Source organism: Homo sapiens, chromosome 13, assembly GCF_000001405.40.
Source record: "Homo sapiens chromosome 13, GRCh38.p14 Primary Assembly".
NCBI classification, from domain to species: Eukaryota; Metazoa; Chordata; class Mammalia; order Primates; family Hominidae; genus Homo; species Homo sapiens.
Window position 1 is genome coordinate 67,627,931 of NC_000013.11, and position 21,460 is coordinate 67,649,390.

Sequence of the window (21,460 nt, forward strand, 5' to 3'; positions counted from 1 at the left end):
AGGTCTAATATTCAGCCTACCACAATATGTAATAATTCTAATATATAATATTTTATTATCTAGCATTTTTAATTTTTTCCTGCTGCATACCACTCATGGAGACTCATTTCTTGTATTATTTTATGATTTTTAATTGGGTTTCTTTTTTTTATAACTCTTTATGGCATTCCTATGCGGCTTTTTTCTGGGGTCAATTCCCTGGAGAGGATAAGTGCCTTTGTTTTGTTTAGTTTTGTTTTGTCTGCCTGAGATTTGGAGGAAATACAAACCCAGTCTACTCTAAATTAAATTTTCTTTTGTATTTTTGAACCAGACAAATAGTGTAAAATTCAGTTCTCCTACTAGTCAGTTGCCATAAAATCCCATAAGATGCTATTTTTATTTTTCTTCTACCAAGAGCCGAAACACGAGAGACAAAATTTCCTTACTGTCAGACTGTCCTCAAATTGTCTTCTAGTTAACTACCTCTTTTTATGCTATAGAACTTTCTTTATTCTTTACTACATGTGTGGTGAATTCCTATCTAGTTCCCCAGCCAGCACACGTACAAGTCAACAGATTCTCAGCATATCCCTCCCTTCACAGGTACATGAATTCATGATACACGGCAGCTTCAGCAACTGCTTACTGTCCAAGTTTTGTCTTTCCAGTTTGTTCTGACCTCATAGAAATTCTGTTTTTCTATGGTGTATACATCTACTCTTTTAAAGAATATGATTTACATTTGGTCTAATAATTTTTGATATTTTGTAGTCACTGGTTCATAATCTCTAGGAACCACTTTGAAGTGAACATGTCCGTCTCAGTTTTTGTGAATATTGACTTGTTTAGCTCATTAAAAAGTGGATTCCATTTTGGAAAGGGTAATTTTATCCTACTTTCAAGCTAATTAATGTAAATAAAACTTAAAAATAAGTTTTAGAAATTTACTTCTACATCCAGTCATATGGCAGTAATTACTGCTTATTGAGAGGTTGCCAAAATGTATTTGATAGTTTTTTAATAATTATCTCCTTTGAAGTAGCATACTACAAGTTTTCAAAAATATAGTTATCTCTTTGGTATTCTGGGGTTGACAATCACTCAGCATAGCTTTTAGGTTACATATTTTGGACCACAATACTTTATAGCATAATGTTCTGCATGGTGTTGATAAAGAAAATGAGCTATAAATTCCTTTCTCAAGCCTACGTGCTAATCCCTGTCACAGATTCTGTAAAGCACAATCCTCTACATATGCTAGTGCTTACTAACATTTTTTATCCAACTTCACTGAGGCCAATCATGAAGAATGAGCATCCTATCTATTTTTTTCTAACTATAAATATAAAGAAGACAGAAATATACAAAGCAAAAAATACACTAATTGTATTTTAAGTGAACTATTAAAAATATTTTTAAATGAATTGACCAAAACATAACTATAAAGTTAAATATAATAATATTTACAAATATTCTATTTCCCTGATTTGGAAATACATTTTCTGTATAATATAGACAAATACTGATTTAATATATTTTCACTTTTACCCACTGAAGACTAGTATTTAATTTACTAGTGCTTCCACTGTGGAATCTCTATTGTAATCCATACATGATATTCTAGTCATGTCACTGACACTGGAGTAAGTAAAATTTTGGTGTTAATATATCCATAACCTGAAGAAGAACCCATATAAACTATTATCTGTGACAGAAACACATGGCCCCTCTTGGACATCAAATCTCTGGTGTGTGTTGCAAATTTTCCTACATCATAATCGTCACATTTTTAATAAAAATTGGAGGGATTACTTAATTCATGACTACTTATGTTTGCTCATAAGGGAAACATATTTTTCTCAGTTATTTATGTTAGTAAAAGGTTGTTTATCTTGTTGTTTTCATAAGAAATTTTGTATTTATCCGTAATCAATTTATCTGTAAATTTGAGCAAAGATACTCCTTTCAGCATTCACAATATATGAAGTCCATAAAAATTTGGGGTCAGAATGGTAGCGCTTATCTAGTAGATCTTCAAGTGTTTCTTATAGAACATGGCTTAAAGTAAAATTACAGAGCCAGATAATCCTGAGAACAACTCACATTGTTTAGCATTTACTGTTTTTTTTTCTACATTTGGTTTCCCACATAATTAACCAAAATACCTTTGTTATTATATTTTTTGCTGGTATTTTATCATGGCATTATTTTTGTAACACATAGTATAACCTAGTTGATGTAGTCTTAACAAAAGTTTTAAACAGTTTATATACATACAATTGCTAACACTTTACTTTCACACATACACACACAGTACTATTCTGAGGCTGTATGTGTTTGCATTCATACAAGGCTGTGTTTATGTGTCCCATGGAAAGCAAATAGTCTCTCCATTGCCTAATTTTCTAAAATTCCTTGTTGAGAGTGATGTCACATCTGTATGTAAGTGTATGTATACACATATGTGTTTGGTTTTGTACATACATATAGATACTCACATAGGTGCATAAGATATATGATGGTGCTAATTAGAATCACCTAAAGAGATTTTAACTTATAATACTAAAACAATAAGAATTGTAAAGAACTGCTTACTTTTTAGCTTAGTCCGTGTCATTTAACAAGTCTTTCACGTTCTCAAAGCTCAATACATTTTTGTCCAGTTGACACAAGAAACTCTAATTTCTCTGTTAGGTGTCCTAAATAGCCACAAGTTTGCAATATGAGAAGAAATCAAGAGGGGAAAATAAAATTTCTATGGCTTTAAATCAATGATCCTTCTCGAGAAATACCTTAAAAACTTGCCATGAAACTGTTTTACTGTTGCGTCTCCAGGATTCTGCTTCATTGCTCATTTGTAAAAACAAACATTTGCCATGAAGACATAACTGCCAATTCAGCTTAAATAAGACAAATGAGATAATGAGACCAGTGGCAGATTTGAGTTGACAAATCCTAGAGAATGCCCAGCTCTAAGTAAAAAGCTTTCCTTTCCTGCCAAAAGGTCTATATGCTAATACTAACTAATTTGCCAATGCAGGCTCTACATTGTTTGACAATAGCTGAGCATCCCAATTTGTTACAGTTGTGACATCAATTTGGATGTAAAGTGTAGTTCGATCTGGTAATCTATGCAACCTCTTAACCCAGCAACCAATCACACAGATGCATACTTTGTACTGAAAAGGCTTAGAAAGCAGAGAGGTTTTTTTGTTTGTTTGTTTGTTTGTTTTGTGTGTGTGTTTGTGTTTTTTTTTGAAAGCTCAGGATATATGAATATTGAGAGCATAATAGTATGGACACTATAATACTGTGACTCTCACCTGCTCATATCCTGGTTACAATAATAAAGGTGAAATAAAATATATTATTTACTTTAACGTAATAGGATCATTCAGGATATTTGCTCTGGCCTAGTTATTCAAATATCTATAACTTAACCACCAAATTGATGGATTTTGAAAGGTCAATTTAGAATGTCACAAAAAGGTTTTTGTTTTTTTCTTAAATCTTCATAGAGTTCTGAAATAACCACAGGTATTGATAAATGCATATACATTTTAATCAGTTTTCTTAATTATTTAAAATAGGAAGGTGTCTATGTTTTATCTTACTCTTCATAACCTTTGCTATAGTATATTATACTAGAAATAAATTAATATTTCACTTTGAAGAAATATTGCATTTAAAAATTAACAAAATGGGTGCTTGGAGTTTGGAATGCTTGCTTCATTACTTTAAAAACTATCCTAAATTAAGCAATAAAAATACCATAGTTTTATAGGGGGAGGAAAATTATCATTAAAAAATGTTTATTTTAAATGAATACAAATTGATGTGGCTCATTCATTTAAGAAGTAGACTGGAAATTCAAGGCCTTAATTCAGACTTTGTAAACTGCACTGAGAGATTCAGTTAGTGACAGATCACCAAAAGTGAATGCACAACACTTTGTAATTACAAAATTATACTAATCCTACCATTATGAAATTAGTTTTTTAAAAAAGTTTGCCTGCCCTGAGAAAACCACATTTAAACAACAACAACCATGAAACAGAGAAGATTTTGGTACATTTTTTGACAATTTACGATAATATTTGAAAACTTCTTTAAATAGAAAACCTTACTTCAAATTTAAAATAAGTTTGTAGAAGATATAGGAGCTTAAAATACTTTAAAATCACAAAAATATTCAGAATTTTGACAAAAAAATTAATTCTCATCTACTGAGTATTATTGAGGGAGAAAATAAGCTAAAAATATCAAAATCCATTCAATTTTTCTTATTTGTTATTTTTTCTTGAGACAGAGACTCCCTCTGTTGCCCAGGCTGGAGTGCAGTGGTGCGAACTCGGCTCACTGCAACCTCCGCCTCCTGGGTTCAAGCGATTTTCCTGCGTCAGCCTCCCGAGTAGCTGGGATTACTGGCGCTCATCACCACGCCCGGCTATTTTTTGTATTTTTAGTAGAGACAGGGTTTCGCCATGTTGGCCAGGCTGGTCTTGAACTTCTGACCTCAAGTGATCCACCTGCCTTGGCCTCCCAAAGTGCTAGGATTACAGGCGTGAGCCATGGCACCCAGCAAAATCCATTCGATTTTTAACAATGTATTAAAAAATAATTCTACACTCTGACTGTAAATGATAATATTTATAGAAACATAGAATCGCAATAAACTTGGAAGTCATATGAATTCACTTTCAGACAAATGTGAAAAATGTGAATTTAATACTTGAATATTTTCTATCACAAGTGCGGTAGGTAGCCTCTAAAACAGCCCCTGATAATTTCACATCCCAGTATGCATGCCCTTATGCAATTTCCTTCCTTTGATTATGTGCTAGACTGAGTGACTCACTTCTAATGAATAGAATATGGCAAAAGTTGTGGATGCCACTTCTAAAATTAGGTTACAAAAAGATGACTTTTATCTTGCTTGCCCTCTCATTCACTTGCTCTGGGGAGAGTAAATTGCCATGTTAAGAGCTACCCTATTGAGAAACCATAGGCTAAATAATGCTGTCTACAAATAACATGTGTCACAGAAATCTGAGGCCTGCAAAAAGTCACATGAATGAGCTTGAAAGTATTTCATTCCCAGTTGAGCCTTGATTGTAGCGTTTGAAATACTCTGAATCAAAGGTGCCTAGGTAAGCCATCCCTAGATTCCAAACCCATGGAAACAAGAAAATGACAAATGGTTGTCGTTTTAAGCTGCTAAATGCTGGAGTTGTTGGTTATATAATATTAGATACCAGTACAAGTTTTGCTACCTAGAAGTGTTGTGCTGCCGTAATAAATATCTAAAACCGTGAGAGTAGTTTTTGAATCAGGAAGTGGGTTAAGACTGGAAAGATTTTGAGGTTTCTTTGGAAAAGCCAAGTTTCTTTGATGAGACTCTCAGTAGAAATCTGGACTTTGAGGAGATTGTTGATGAGAACTCAAAAGGAAATGATTAAAATTATTGAAAACTGGAGAAAGGGGAATCCCTGTTATATAGTGGCAGAAAAGTTGACAACACTGTCATTTGTAGTTATGTGGAAAGATGTGCCTAATAAACCATGAACTAAGGATCTACCTAAGCAAGTTCTCAAGCAAAGTGCTGAGGTTGCCATCTGGGTTTTCCTTACTGCTAATAGTAAAATGATATAAAGAAGATATAAACTGATGGAAAAACTGTTACATAGAAATGAATCCTATCTTTGTTATTTTGAAACAAAACAAAACATCCTTATCCTCTTCTGATGGCAAAAGATGCCAAAGTTAAATGTTTTTTTAAAAAGTTCAAATCCAGGAGCCTGCCAGGAAAATATGAACAAGAAAAGGGACTCAAGGATGTATCTGAAAAATCTTTTCTTAAGTTAAGTTCTTAGAAGTTCGAAGGTGGTGCCTCAAAGTACTCATTATTTCTACAAAAGGCCCTTAAAAAGATTAAGAGTGTACCTCACAGTTCCTCCCAATCAACAGCAGACCCTCTAAGAAAGTTAAAGTGTTTGTCTTCAGCTCTCCTAGCAGAAGCCCGGGGTACTGAAAGGCTATCTCAAAGGCATTTATGGATGTGGCTTTGTCTAATGGAGTTTAACCCAGTGAGATTCACCAGCGGTTGAAAAAGTTCTTGAAAAATTGATAGTAGAAACATTGCTAGCTTGGACTGGGAAAAAAGAAAAAAAACGGAAAGTACAGAATGAAAATAGTTTGTTGTACCTCCAAAATTCTGCTGTCAAGAGGAAGAGAGAAAACTATTCACCTGCAAACAAATGCTATTTTTTATGAGAATCGAGAGATGACTCAGAAGGCAGAACCAAGATCCCAGGAAGCAGAATTGACAGGCATGAAGATTTATTCCCAGGCCTTGATATCTAATCAGAGAACTTTCATTATTTCCCTGGCTAGATTTCAGAATTGCCACGGACCAGAGACTCATTTGTGTCCTCCTTATTCACTCTTTTTGAATAGGAATGTTTTTAGAAGTTGTCCTCTGTTTGTCCCATTATTTTATGTTAGATGTATGGGGCATAAGACAATTTGTTTCCTTGGTTTCACAAATTAAGAGGAACCACAGACAGACATGTGTTTAGATGACAATGAAATGGAGCTACAATCTATGAAATTATGACTTAAACCTCAAAATAAGAATTCCTCCCAGGCGGAATGATAGCTATAACCATGGTAATCCTGCTCACTATGAGAGAAATTACACTCAAAGTGCTGTAGTTAGGGAATTATCTTAAGAGTCTTGTGCAGAATTGGACCTGATTTAGATGGCAAGATTCTGGACTTTGAGCTGCTGGTATAATGGTATGTCACTTTTGGTGACCATGAAGGGGTGGAGTACATTTAATATGTGAAAAAAAAAACATGAATTATTGGGATCCAGACATTCAACTGTGAAGACAGTTTATAAGATGGCCTCTAATAATTCCATATATTGGTATTCATACACTTGTATAATCTCCTATATTTAATTGCAGGCAATATCTAGTGATTTACCTGTAACAAATAGAATATGGCAAAAGTGATTAAATGTCACTTCTGTGATTAGGTTATAAAGATACTATTACCTCTGACTTGCTGGAGTTCCCTCCCTTAGGGAAAAGCCAGATGCCATATTTTAAGCTGCCTAACAGAGAGGCCCACATGGTAAGAAACTAATATTTCCATTCCACTGCCAGGTTTCCATCCAACCTAAGGCCTGCCAAAGTTCACATGACTTTACTTGAGACTCTCTCACTTGAGCATTGAGATGGCTAGATGACCACAGCACTAATCAACCTCCTGAATGCAGCTTGGTAAGGGATCCTGAATGGGAAGCTCTAAGCTAAACTGTGCTGATCTATGATCCACAGAAACCATGAGATACCAAATATTTGTTGTTTAAGCTACTAAGTTTGAGGGTAATCTGCTATGCAACAACAGATCACAAGTAAAACTAAAAAATATATTTGACAAAGTAATTATTATATAATTCATATATTTTATAATCTTTTAATAAAACTAAACTGGAATACATTTCTCAAAATATTATCAACCAGACAAAATTTAAAAGAAAGACATGATATACTCATATTTTCTGAGCACCCATTTTGTTGGTAGAGTTTTATGTATCATTTTTTCTAATAAGCACATGTACCTTCTGTAGAATGCACACCAAATTCATTTTATTATTGTGTAAATGGGGTCAATGCAGTTAAATAAATTACCCAAGATCAAATAATTAGCACGTATTGACGCTTGTTTTCAAACAGAAATGTTTAATTTAAAAGCCCTTGTATCTGCTACTACATTATGTTACATCTATTAGTCTTTTTCATTTTATGCATAGAAGCTCTTAATTATTGAACTTTTTAGACCATATTTAAATTTTCTCCTTTCTAAGATAACTTCAACTGATTTAATTCTTTAAAAATATGGTGTTTTATACAACCCAGTCACTGACTCAGTATCATTTGTTCGTAAACTCAGATTTATTTGAATGACTCACAAGAAAATATGTTTCCAATACAAGTTTAGTTAGCTCTCAAGGGAACAAAGCAGCGCATATGACCCATAAAAAAGTATCACTTTCACCCATAGATTTCATAATATTCATGGCTCTCCAGGATCTCCTCTGTACAGGCAATGTTTGACTGCAAAAGTAGAGGCTGAACTCACAGACTACTAGAACTTAGGGAAGCAACCACTTTCCTTCTTCACCTAGCTTTTCCTAAAGCTACTCTAGCAATATGGGTCACGTCATATCCTTTCCAGGGCAGCCACAACTCATTCATGGAGTTTAACAATAAAGAATTCTGATAACCAAGTACAATTTGCCTGGTATGTCATTGAGCTGAATGCCAGAGGTTTGCAGGGGACAAAGTTGCAAGATGGCAAATCCAGAGTCATATTCTCTGCTGCTTCTGGATATGGTGTAAAAATTCATTCCCACTGTGAACCCTTTAACACCAATCTAACTTTGCATTCTGGATAAGTCAAGTCATATATCATTTTAATACAATTTTATATCTCTTTTCAAAAATGTCTATTTTTGATGTTGTAAACAGAAAAGATTTTTATGTCTATAGCTGATGAAGTATGTAAAATTCAAGTAATATTAGTATGAGTGACAAAATATTTTGGTCTTAACCACAGTTTTTACAAGTTTTAAGTAATTTTTAACCAATTTTATTTTACTTTTTATCTCTTCATTTATTAGCCGTTATACTTTTCAACAGATAAAGATGAAAGATGCATATCAAGTTATTCTGAAACTAAATTCATTTCCTCTTAAGTCAGTTTTCATGACAGCTACAACAATTAGGAATTGCAAATCAGTTTTTCCAACTAACTTTCCATTCTGTGGTTTCTCATTAGAATATTTCCTCTTCTCCTTACTTTTTTCAAACAACCACAAATCCTTTATTACACCAATTAACCAGTAGATGTGTTATTAAAATAATGATTTGTATACAAAATGTATATTAACAATATGCCAATGGTGTCTAATTTATATTATGTTCAGTAAGACAAGTAGTTATTTCAAGTCACTGTGCATTAATTGGGGGCCTGTTAAGTTTACAGCTCAGCCATATCCAGCTACAAAACAAATCAGCTTTGACAAATATTGTATTATAAACATCATTGTGTTCCATGGTACATCTACTTCCCACTGGGATGAGATGTTGCTTATTATATTTTGCCCAGTTCCCACCAATTGTCTTAACAGGAAGTCTTTCTTAATTAATTCTTCTCTGGTGATGTCCTTCACAGCTTGAACTGGTGTGAGCTCCTCTAGCACGGATTCCAGTTACTGGCTTCACAACATATTTGATTCCATGGTTGTCAACATATAAGATGACAGCTCATCCTGGGTCATCCAAACTGTAATTTGGATGGTTGTCTCCTCCAAATCTCATGCTAAAATTTAATCCCCCATGTTGGAGGTTGAGCTTAATGGGAGGCATTTGGGTCACAGGGGTAGATGACTCATGAATAGATTAATTCCCTCCCTGGAGGGGCAGGATGGCTGAGTAAATTATCTGAGTAAATTCTCTTGTGGAAACTCTATTAGTTCCCACAAGAGCTGGTTGTTAAAAGGAGCCTGGCACATTCAGGCTTGCTCTCTTTTGCTTCTTTATTCACCGTGTGAAATCTGCACATGCCAGGCCCCATCGCCTTCCACTATGAGTGGAGGTAGTCCAAGGCCCTCAACAGAGGCAGATGTTCATGCTATGTTTTTTTTTTTTTTTTGTACAGCCTAAAGGACTATAAGCCAAATAAACTTAAAAAAAAATGTAAGTAAATAGCAATACAAATAGTGGACTAATATGGAAAACTGATACTGAGAAATGAGATGTTCATATAAGGATACCTGAAAATGTTAAAATCGTTTTGCAACTGGGTAGTGGACAGAGGTTGGAAGACTTTGGGGGCTCAGAGGAAGACAGGAAATTGAAAGAAAGATTGGAACTTCTCAGAGATTGGTTAAGTGGGTGTGACCAAAATGTTGACAGACAGTAAGGCCCATGCTAATGAGGTCTCAGATAAAAATGAAAGACTTATTGAGAAATGGAGTAAAGGTTACCCTTATTATGCCATACCAAAGAACTTGGCTGCATTTTGTTCATACCTTAAGGCTTTGTTAAATGCCAACCTTAAGAGTGATGACCTAGGGTATCTGGCAGAAAAAACTTCTAAGCAGCAAAGCATTTAAGATGTGGTATGTCTGCTTCTAACAACCTAATTCAGATGTGGGAGAAAAGGAACAATCTAAAGGTGGAATGTATTATTAGAAGAAAAGCAGAGCATAAACATTTCTAAAATTCACAGCCTGACCATGTGATATTGACAAGAAGAATGTTTTTAAGAGATGACTCCAAGGGTGCTGTGGAGCAACCAGTTGCTAGAGAAAATAGCAAGCATAAAAGAGTGCCAGGTGCTAATAGTCAAAACAATGGGAAAAAGACCCTGAAGATATTTCAGCAATTTTTGAGGCCACCTCTCCTATCACAGTTCCAGAGACCTAGGAAGACAGAAAAGTTTCGGGGGACAGGCCTAGGTGCTACTGCACTATACTACCTGGGGAAGCTTCTCTCTGCATTCCGGTCCTTCAGTTTGGATCACCTATGGCTTAAATGACCCCAGGTATGACTTAAGCCACCACTCTTGGGGGAGAATTTATAGGCCTTGGTGGCATCCACATGGTATTAAGTCTGCAGGTGCCCAGAATGCAAGAGCCATGGGAGCGTGGCAGCTTTCATCTACTTTCAGCTGATGTATCAGAAAGCCTTAACTCCTAGGCAGAAGCCTATCACAGGGGCAGAGCCTCCTGAGAGCCTCTACTAGGGTAATGCCTAGTGGAACCGTGAGAGCAGAATTGCCAACCTCCAGATCCCAGAATTGTAAAGCCACTGGCAGCTTGTGACATCAGCCTCAAAAAGCTGTTAAGCATTTGACTCCAACCCATGAGAGCAGCTGTGAGGTCTGTGCCCAGCAAGACAATGGTGGCAGGGCACCCAAGGCTTTAAGAGCCCACGACTGGCACCAGTGTGCCTGGAATGTGGGATATGAGGTCAAATATTATTTGGGGGCTTTAAGATTTAAGGCCTACATTGCTGGGTTTTATACTAGTGTGGGACCTATTACCCCTTTCCTTTGGCTGATTTTTCCCTTTGGTAATATAAATGGTTACCTAAGTGCCTGTAAGCCTTTGCATCTTGGAAATAAATAACTTAGTTTTTATTTTACAAGCTCACAACTCTAAGGAACTTACTTTGAGTCTGAGATGAGACTGTTGACTTTAGGCTTTTGAGTTGATGGTGGAATAAGTTAACAATTTTGAGAACTATTGGGATGGAATGATTGTATTTTGCACTATGAGAATGCTATAGTTTGGCGGAATGCTGTAGTTTGGATGTTTGTCCCCTCTAAATCTCATGTTGAAGTTTGACCCCAATGTTGAAGGTGGGGCCTAATGGGAGGTGTTTGAGTCATGAGGCAGTTTCCTAGTGAATAGATTAATGACCTCATAAGGGTGAGTGTGAGTGAGTTCTTGCTCTAATAGTTATTACTTCCTGCCAGAGCTGGTTGTTTAAGAGTCTAGCACCTTCCTTGTCTCTGTCTCTTGCTTCCTTACTCACCATGTGATCTCTGCACATAACAGCTCTCCTTTGCTTTCCACCATGAGTGAAAGCAGCCTGAGACTCTCACTAGAAACCAATGAGAGTAGTGCCATTCTTCTTGGAAATCCTGCAGAATTATCAGCCACATAATCCTCTATTCTTTATAAATTGCCAAATTCAAATATTTATTTATAGCAACACAAATGGCTAAGTGTCACTCAGCAAAATTGCCTTATTATTTTATGGATAGATTTTCTCTAAACACTTATTGTTTATCATCTTTCCAAGTATTGCCAGGTTTGACTAGTTTCTTGCCAAAGTCATCCCTCTAAAATTTCTATATTGTAATATATTATGTACTTTTCAACGTTGTGTAATACTTCTAAAAACGTTTTTTCTGCCTGGCTCAAAACAGATAGCTACAAATCAATGGTTCCTGAACCCCTACAAGATCACTGGGGCTGGTGTTGACTTTGCCACTACACTTGCCATTGCTACTATTGAGTATAAGTATAGTCTAGAAAAATTGTATTTGCATCCCCCATTTTTATTTATTAATAAATCATTAATTTGCACATTCCACTCCTAAAATCTACTCAGTCTATGTGTGCCATAAGAACTGCATAATTAGAGTTTTTTTGGAGTTCTAAAAGAGAACAGCAGTGAGGGTGTACTCTGTATTATCCCTATATTAGTCCCTGTCATTATGATCAACCCATTATCTTCCTCATTATGTTTCAAATCATGTTATTAAGTTCATGCACATTCACATTTATTACATTTGAAACAGCAAAGCAGGCTCTGGCATATCAGGCAAGCTGCAGCAATACAAAATCCCTCATATATAGGCAACTGCTTCAACAATGTGTCACGCTGGTGCACAGATCACATGTGTACATGAGATCAATTATTGTATAATCATAAATCTGTGCAATTCAAATATAATGTCTTCAGATTTAAGCATGAAAAATGGATTAGTGAACATAATCTATAAACATTTAACCAAAAGAAGGTTCCAGTGACCGAAATTCAGTAAGGCCATTGGACAGTGCTACATGACATGGATTTTTTTGTTTTTGTTTTTGTTTTTTTCATCCAGAATAACCAGAATTAATTTTTGGTAAGGTTCCTACATCATCTTCAGTCTAACTGACATTTCTCAAAAAGAAACAAGATCGCTGATCTTCCCCAGGGAACACAAACAAACTTCGATCGTTCTCTTGTACTGATACAATCTTGAGGGAACAAAAAATTAGCAACTTTCCTGGTATTATCACTCATTTCCAGGTTCCTTTCCTTTAAACTACAATGTTCTCTATTTTTACTTATCTCCTGACTCTTTCTACCTAGATTGCACTGAGGGGTTCAAGTACGGTGCTCAATCGTAAAACTAGCAGAAGGAATTCTCTTGCGTTTATTCTCACTCTTGGATTTCTGAGCAACAGCCATTCTTCCGACCAAGCAATGCAGGCCAACAGAAAGTCTTTTCAACCCATGAATTCCTTTGGAATAAGTACTACAAGGTTTAAAGGCTTAGAGACAATGACTTGTGCCAAAATGTCTTTCCTGATAGTAGCTAACCAATTGAAGCAAGGTGATGGTACTATGGGATCCTACAATAAAACAGAAATAACTTGTCAAATGATAAAGACAAAGAGTTTTATTATGACATAATGCCCTACACATTAATTCTCACTTCTGCACTGCCAAAGATTCTAATTTAGATCTCTCAAGTCTTAAACCCAGTTGTCTAATCCTGCAGGCAAGTTCTCTATTCCTTTTTTTCATTTTTTAGCAAATGTTTGTATTGCTCCTTCCAAGTTCCTCTCAAACCACTACTTTGAGAGTGAGAATGAAACATAGCCAAACAATATGGTGCTTTTAGCCCATAACCATATCTCAGTCACTGGGAAGTAGGTCTGCTAAGGTGATAAAATATATATGGGTGCCCCAAATTGAAATAGTCCACATTATCCCTATTCTTCTAAAACTTTCTCAACCATTGCTTCAGTAATGAGAATTACAACAGAAAAGTGGAGAATGTACCATTGTCTATCAAATCCTTAAAAATCCTCTCGAGGCTATAGGTAATGGTCTAATTGATCCACCTGATAATCATGGACTGGGCTCTATCCCTGTGAAATTAATTCCATGATAATTTTTTTTTCTTAAGTCCTGTGTTATTCTGAAGAGTCATAGGCAACTATTGGTACAATAGAAATAAGGAAATATATCTTCATCCAACCCAGTTTTATAGTCCGGTAGTCCCTATGACAATGCATTTCTTATACTCACTATGCAACTTCAAGTATTGTTTGAAATGTCACACTTCACTCTCTTTAGAAATTCCTGCTAGATTTTTTAGGGAGCATCCAACACATCCTATCCTGTCTTTATTCTCTGAGGCTTCAGAAGTCCTCCCAAAATTAGAGAACTCCACATTCAGGCATTTTTAATTTTCCAAGTGTCTATCACCTTGTTAATCAATCATACAGGTGGCTGTCACTACTGCCCAAGAAGCTGTAAAAACCCACACACCACTCAGTACAGTTTTGCCATAAAACAAAATGTACTACTGCAAGTAATTCAGCCGCTTGTACTACTCTTCTGCTTTTTCCATGACTTTTTTCCTTCACTAGATGAATTGCTAAAATCCCAAATTTTCTGAGAAGTTCTACACACCCTGCCATATACCATGCTTCCAGCATTGTTTCATCAAGATGAGAGTTATATGGTCAGGTTATTCTGCAATTGGATATGGGAGATTGAAGGGGTCCTTGGGTTGGTTGAAGATGAGGTAAATGGTAGCCAAATCATGTGATTTTCCTCCTGAGGCACTGCTTCAGTATGTCTGTGTGTATACAGTAGACATGCACACACACACACACACACACACACACACACACACACACACACACACACACACACTTTTACTTGATAAATTAACTGTTGGAAGCCTCTTCCTTAGACTAGCCATTATTTTCATCATAGGCTCAGAGTGTCCTTTTTCTGAAATTTTCTAACCTTTTGCCATCTTCAAATCCCATGCAACATAATTTAAAAAGCAAACTCCCTACTGTATCCTGTATTCTATTAGTGATGATTGCTGTTTCCACTAGAGCCTAACATCAAATCAATTGTTTTTATTGAAAGGAGAAGCAGCATTTGGTAGCTCCCAGATGTATATCCTTAGTAACCTGTAGCAGAGGATTGTGGAGGCAAGATCTGACTTCTATTAAAAAGCCAGATGAGTATGGTGGACAAATTTATAGAATGTCTAATAGCATGTGCTCATTTGGGTCTTATGGCCTCAGTGGTGCAGCACTTTTTATATTCCAAGTTGTGAAACTCTATTCAGTTCTGCATTTGAATTGTCTTCTTCCTAGTCACTTAGTCCTCCTTTCACTGTACCTATTTTAAGTAGGCAATGAGATTGCAAAAATTAGGAAGTTGTATAATCTAGAGTGAAAAACAACTACTAGATGTTGAACTGTCTTCTTCATATTCAGATTCTTTAGAAACAGTAGTTCATCTCTATTTTTGGAAAGATTTTTTGAGGTACCAGGCAAATGATTCTCAAAATTTCACAGGATTCTTGGCAAACTCCTGAATTTTTGAAATGTTTACCTTCAAGAATTCTCTATAAGACTCATGTGGCTTTTTTGTCAAGTTTTCTTTTGCTTCCTTTTCCAATTCTTCTACTGTTTAATGCCAACAACACAATGATTCAGCCTGCTTTTCACCAATATCATGCCCCAAACTCTCCTCATAAAATTACAGCAGCCCATGGTGCAATTTAAATACCTTTGACATTGTGTTACCGGGAAGTGCGGAAGTCCTTGGTTCTTGTCTTACTTGGGAAAAAGAATTAGGCCAAGAGACGAATTTAGCAAAGAGAGCAGAGAATTTATTGAAGAAAAGTCAATTGAAGGGAGTTTACTGAAGGAAAATAGAGAGCAGAGATTTGATTGAAGGACATACACTCCATGAGAGGAACAGGCTGGTCTGGCTGGTAAATAGCAGTAGTAGCAGCAAGGGTTACATAGCAAAAGAGACAGAACACTCTGAAAGACAAGGCAGAGCAGGCAGCTTGAAAGAAAAGGAGTCAGCAGTCCCAAGAGTTCTCCATTGTGTTTTTTATTATGTGGGACTCTTGCTTTAAGCTCCCTCCTCTGTCTCAAGGACTTTGTCTTTGTCTAGTTTCCCACTTGTGCCTTAAATCCTCACCATTTTCCCCAGCTAGTTCCCACCCATAGGTTTGTGGGATTCTCCCTTACTGTCAGTGGCTGCACAAGTATGGGCCCAGGGTTGGCTACAAATTCTACCTACTGGCAGCCCTGCTCATTACTGCCACCCCAGGAAGGATGTATTGTGGTTAGATCTTTACTTACTCTGCCTGTGTTTCTCTTAGGAATTGCTCCTTGGCCCTCCTTTCTCTCTTATCAGCGTGTAGCTAGATGCATTCTGACAAGGTAACTGTGGAGTGAGCTTCTTAAGGGGTGTTTTGGGTCATTCCTTTTTACACAGGCATTTATCTTCCTCTCTGCTCATATCTAGAATGCATGTTTTGGGTGGTCTCTGGGGTGTGAAATTTTCCAGAGCTCCTTTTCTCAGGGACTCCCTCTCCTGCTCATGTCTAGCTATCTGCCTACTCTAACAATTATAGTAAAATTATGTTGACTTTGTACCCACCTAAAGACGAACTGAGCTTTACTTTCTTTTGCCGTAGGTACAAAAACAAGGCATCAGCCCAGTCACCTTTCACTGTTCTTTGTCTGCTGCATCTTTTGGATAGCTTATCAGGTACTACAGCCCTTATAAAGTTTACTATATCATTCATTCACCATTAGTCTCCCATCAGACTCCAAAATTTGCTTAACAATTTCAGACTGTTATAAAATAGGTGCATTGATATTATTACCCCTACTTCTACCATTTTAAGTCAAAGTAGAAATTTTCTGCTACCCTTAGGGAATTCTATATATATCACTAAATAAGGCTGAGGAAGTTTCACTTTTTATGTTCAATTTATTCTGGCAGAGGACAGACTTGGCTGAAATTTGACCTGAAGGAGATAACAGCAATATTTACCACTTATGTCACAATCATTGCTAATATGGATTGAGGTGAATACCTTGTAGTTTCTAGCATTTCAATCTGTAACTTCATTTTTAACTGAATGCCGTTCAAGAAAGCATCTCTCTAACCACCCAATTCTACTGAAATCCCTGCAGTTTCTTTTCACTGTCACTGGCAGAGATGCTATGGTACTGGGGACCTTTATCCAATAAGCCAAAGAAGAATTGCTCCATATTCCTTTATATTTAACCTAAAAGTTTCACAGAGACTTGATGTTCATGCTGGAAGTTTCAGTTGGGAATTCCTGGACTAAATTATACTTCATAGATTAGATGAAATTCTGCAACATGTTTCAGCTCTCCCATTTAGTTCTTCTTTCAGTTTATCTATTTTAAATTCATCCAGAAAAGATAGATTTAATGTGTCAAAAATCCTTTAAGGGAGATGATTTGTAAAGTAGATGCTTTGTGGGCACCCATCTATTTTTTTCACTTTAATCACTCCCCGCCCTATTTAATATACAACAGAACAATCCCAAATGACTTAATCTTTTTTTCCCCAACATTGCCCTTAGGCTCAGAGTTTCCCTTTTTCTTTGTTGTTTTTCAAATTGCTCTAACTTTTTGTGCTTACTTAAACTCCATCAAAAATAATTGAGGATGCTATTCTGCTACTGAGTTATAATGTTCTTTTGTCCCCTGAAATGAAAGATTGAAGTTTCCTTGAATTATTGTTTCCATCATTGTTTGAAGAAGCAGCACATCATTGGAGATAGCTCTATTTTGATTATTGTATAACCAACCCAATGGGGTTGCTCCCTTTAGCACTTTAATTGTTCAATGGGCTTGTTCCATTTTAACATAAAAAGGGAAGAGGACAATTCTCATTTTCCCCCTGACTCTGGATTTTACCACCTTAAAGGGGGGCAGATGTGCTACATTTTTGCCATGAATGAATTGAATGCCAAAACCACAGCTAATTTTAACTAGGTACTCATTCCAAATGGATTTCTTTATTCTTTAACACCTAAGCATCAAACTAGTAGATTAACCTTAATTTTCTTTCAAATTCTTCCAAAGAGTACTGAAACATCAATATGAAAACCTTTTCAGCTTTATTGTAGTATAATTGACATAAAAATTGTATATATTCAAAAACGTATGCATTATGAAATTATTACCACAATTAAGCAATATATCCATCACCAGATGTTGGTAAAAATGAATCCTTTTTTTTCAAATAATCAAATTAATTACTCAGTCCCTAGTTAATGGTTTCAATTTTCCAATGCAGTCAACAGCAATCACTGTAGTTTTGGGGAGGGGGGATTTTCGCTATTTGTTTTCTACTCAATTGCAGTCAAACTTATATTATATAACTTGCATTAAAAAGACAAATCCCTGATCACATGTGGCAATATTTTCACCATCTCAGACCGCAGATGGATTGGCAATCACCTAGGGATCAAATACTTATCAGTTCCTTTCTCCCTATTTTGTCTCTCACCTCATAAATCTTTTGCTATATCGAGTAGAGGTCATTGTGTCAATTCCACTTCTGCCATTAATCTGCCTGCTACACAATCATTGATCCAACATTCACAAGAAATGTTATGTCTTCAACCTATTTTACTTCCATTGAATGACTCACAATAGGCAATACAGTACACTGACCTGCAGTTGCTTTGGGAGGTAAAGTTCCATCTCAAGCACAATTTGCTGGCTTCACTGCACAGGTCCATGTCACTATAAAAGACAAAGTTGACGATGGTTTTGTCCATTTTAATTCATTAAATGTATCCCTGCCATTTGTTTCCTGTCTTAAACTCTGCTTGTCAAGCAGCCTATCAAGCAATATATGTCAAGGCACATGCTTTCTATTGCAGCTGGAATCTACCAGTCAGAATTTCATAATAAATAATTCTGACAATGACATGCAGTTGCTCATCTTGGTAGAACATAAATGAGGCATCATTCCACATTTATCTTTGAAGTAGTCTTGGATCATATTTACAGGACTTTCTGAGTCTAGCTTAATAGTTTTGAGCATCCATTGTCTTTTTATTTGCGTGTAGTATCTGAATACGTCATTGTAAACCAAAAAGTCTCTGTGACGGGTCTCAGTGAACGTAGAGGTTTATCTGGCCAAGATTGAGGGTACACACAGGTAAAAGAAACACAAAACCACAGGAATATTTGTAATCTATGTTTTTTCCAAAGAGGGTTTGGGGACTTAAATATTTTCAATATTTAAGGGCAAAAGAGCAGGTAACAGAGGAAAGAGGAAAAAAAAAACCAGGGAGCGTAGATAAAAAGGGGCAAGTGTTTGCATTCTTCTGAAGCTTTGATCAGCGGTTACTGAATCCACATGTTTTACATGTGAAATGATGGGGTAGAAGAATAGTCTATTATGTATTTTTCTGGTTAGCTCAGTTAATCTACATTAATATACATTTGTCTCAGGTGGGTAGAGGGATGACTCCTGGGCCTGTCTTGTCTTGTACCTGTGAAGATAAGCTGTTGATTCACATTGTAAGTGTGAATTCAACAGAACTGTTTTATGGTAAAGATCTTGGGGCCTACAAGACATTTCCTCAGGAGCAAGTTGTGAGAGTGGATTCCTAGGGTAGTATGTGGCCTTTTATCTTTGTAGGAACAAAAATGAGAGGCTGTTTAGCCTGATTCACTTCCCAAATTTGACTTTTCCTTTTGGCTTAGTGAGTTTGGGGTCCAGATATTTTATTTTCCTCTACCATCATTATTATGGTTATTTATCTTAAGATATATTTGTCAAAGATATTTTGAAGTTAGGGAGTTCAGAAATAGACTCAATATTCAAGATGTGTCTGACTAGCAAAAAAACAGAAAGCTTATTAACCCCAGTTTCAGGGACAATTTTCTGCACATCAAGCCACTCCAAAACTTTCTACCTTCAAACAACCACCATTTATTTGTTCATATTTCTAACGGTTGTCAGTTTGGACTCTCAATTGGGTATTTCTTTTGCAGGTCTTGCCTGTAGTACCTTATGCAGCTATGTGAGACGGAATGATCCTAGATGACCTCAATTACATGTCTGGACCTTCGCTGGAGTGTCTGGACATTCTTTGTCTGTGCAGTGTCTCTCTCCATGTGATTTATCATCTTCAAGGAGGCTAAACTGTGCTTATTTGCAGAATAAGAGTGTTGGGATTCTAAAAGGGCATATTCTATTGGTTAAAGAATGCCATCCAAGATTCAAAAGGAAAGGGAATAGATTTATTGGATAGCATGGTGACTATAGTTAATGACAACATATTGTAATTTTGAAAAATGTTGAGTATACCTATTAAGTGTTCTCACCACAAAATGATAATGATGTGAAGGGATGCATTTGTTAATTAGCTAGATTTAACTTATCCACAGGTATATCCAATTTACAACATTATGTTGTTTGTGATAAATACATGCAATTCTATATGTTAATTTATAGTAAATAAATACATAAATAAATTTGAAAAAAAAGAAAGGGGAAGGAAATAGATGTCACCCACTGTGGCAGGGAGGCCAAAAAAAGTGACAAATCAATCCACCACAACCTCTTTGATCAGCACACTTTATAAAGCAGAATGACATCATACAGTAAAGGACAGAAGAGTGATTGAGAGTGAACACATGAAGATACTGGAGCCTGACAACTAACAAGAGAATAATATTTAAAGCTGTGGAGTGTTGTGGTCAAGACTGCAGAGTTTAGAATGAATCTGCCTAGGTGTGATTCTTGGTTTCTTCATTTAATAGTTGTATAGCTTGTTGGGTCGCTGTGAGGATTAAATGAGCTAATGTATAATATATGAAGTGCTTGGTCTAGCTCTTGAGGGATTGTAAGTGCTAACTAAATGTTATAAATCATTTTTGAGCATAACTTATATTGCAAATTGCTTATCACAGAAGTATTTACAACTTAAAGCTAGGAATTTAAACTTTATCATTTTTGTCTAATAAATTATTGATTTTATATGCTCACTTTAGCTTATAAATATGTTTTTGATTTCAGATTGTCATGCTATTAGAAATTCCTCCAATATGTCTCTCATAATTGATAAAGTGACATCCTTAAGGACTTGATAAAAATGTCACTCAGTTTTTATTCAGTTTCCAAAACAGCAAAACACTACCAATGACTTTTTTTCTTTTGCCTCCTCTTGGATTAAACATTGTTTTTTTCTCCTTTTATTTTTGCTGTGTTGGAAAGCTATGTACTCTAGGTATATTCTTTAAGTAAGTTTTCCTACAATTTTAACAAGCTTGCTTATTCTTTTATATATTTCTAACCCATCCAAGTTACTGAGGTAAACACGTTATGAAATTTGTCTAAATATTCTCCAACAATCTGCGAAGTTTTGATTTTGTAAAATTTCTACCTTGTTTTAAAACAAAAATAGCTTATTTTATAATCTTTTCATACGTGATGATTTATTGACATGTTTTACTTATGTTTTTGCTCATTATTGTTTTTTTCTCTTCACTTTTTGTGTTTACATATCTTGTTGTCCAAGTTTGTCATTCAATGTTTGTAGCAAACATCTGGAGCCGTAAACTATTGGTGAAACTGTTTCGGTTTTCTTTTCTTTTTTTCTCTTCTCTTTTCTTTCTTTTATTTTCTTTGTTTTTTCTTTCTTTTTTTTTTTAAACTCAGTAATGGTAGTTTAGCAAGATGTAGAAGAAAAGATGCATTTATTTTCTGTCACTATAGTGACTTATAGCACCTATTACTCCTGATAGGAAGTCTTATGTCAGATTATAATCTTTTCACTTTTGTAC

General features: G+C 35.7%; 1 long non-coding RNA gene across 2 annotated transcripts in view; it reads left to right on the top strand.

Annotated features, from left to right (window-relative positions):
* The window catches only part of LOC105370249 (uncharacterized), a 52,794-nt gene extending 31,568 nt beyond the window's left edge, over window positions 1-21,226 (top strand). The window contains exons 5-7 of one of the 2 annotated variants that reach the window (XR_942046.3): window positions 15,991-16,051; window positions 16,309-16,382; window positions 19,667-21,226. This is a non-coding gene — a long non-coding RNA (uncharacterized LOC105370249). Of the gene's footprint in view, window positions 1-15,990; window positions 16,052-16,308; window positions 16,383-16,619; window positions 16,708-19,666 lie in introns of those variants that run through there. The other variant, XR_942047.2, reaches the window with a different exon arrangement.
* Window positions 21,227-21,460: the final 234 nt, after the last annotated feature.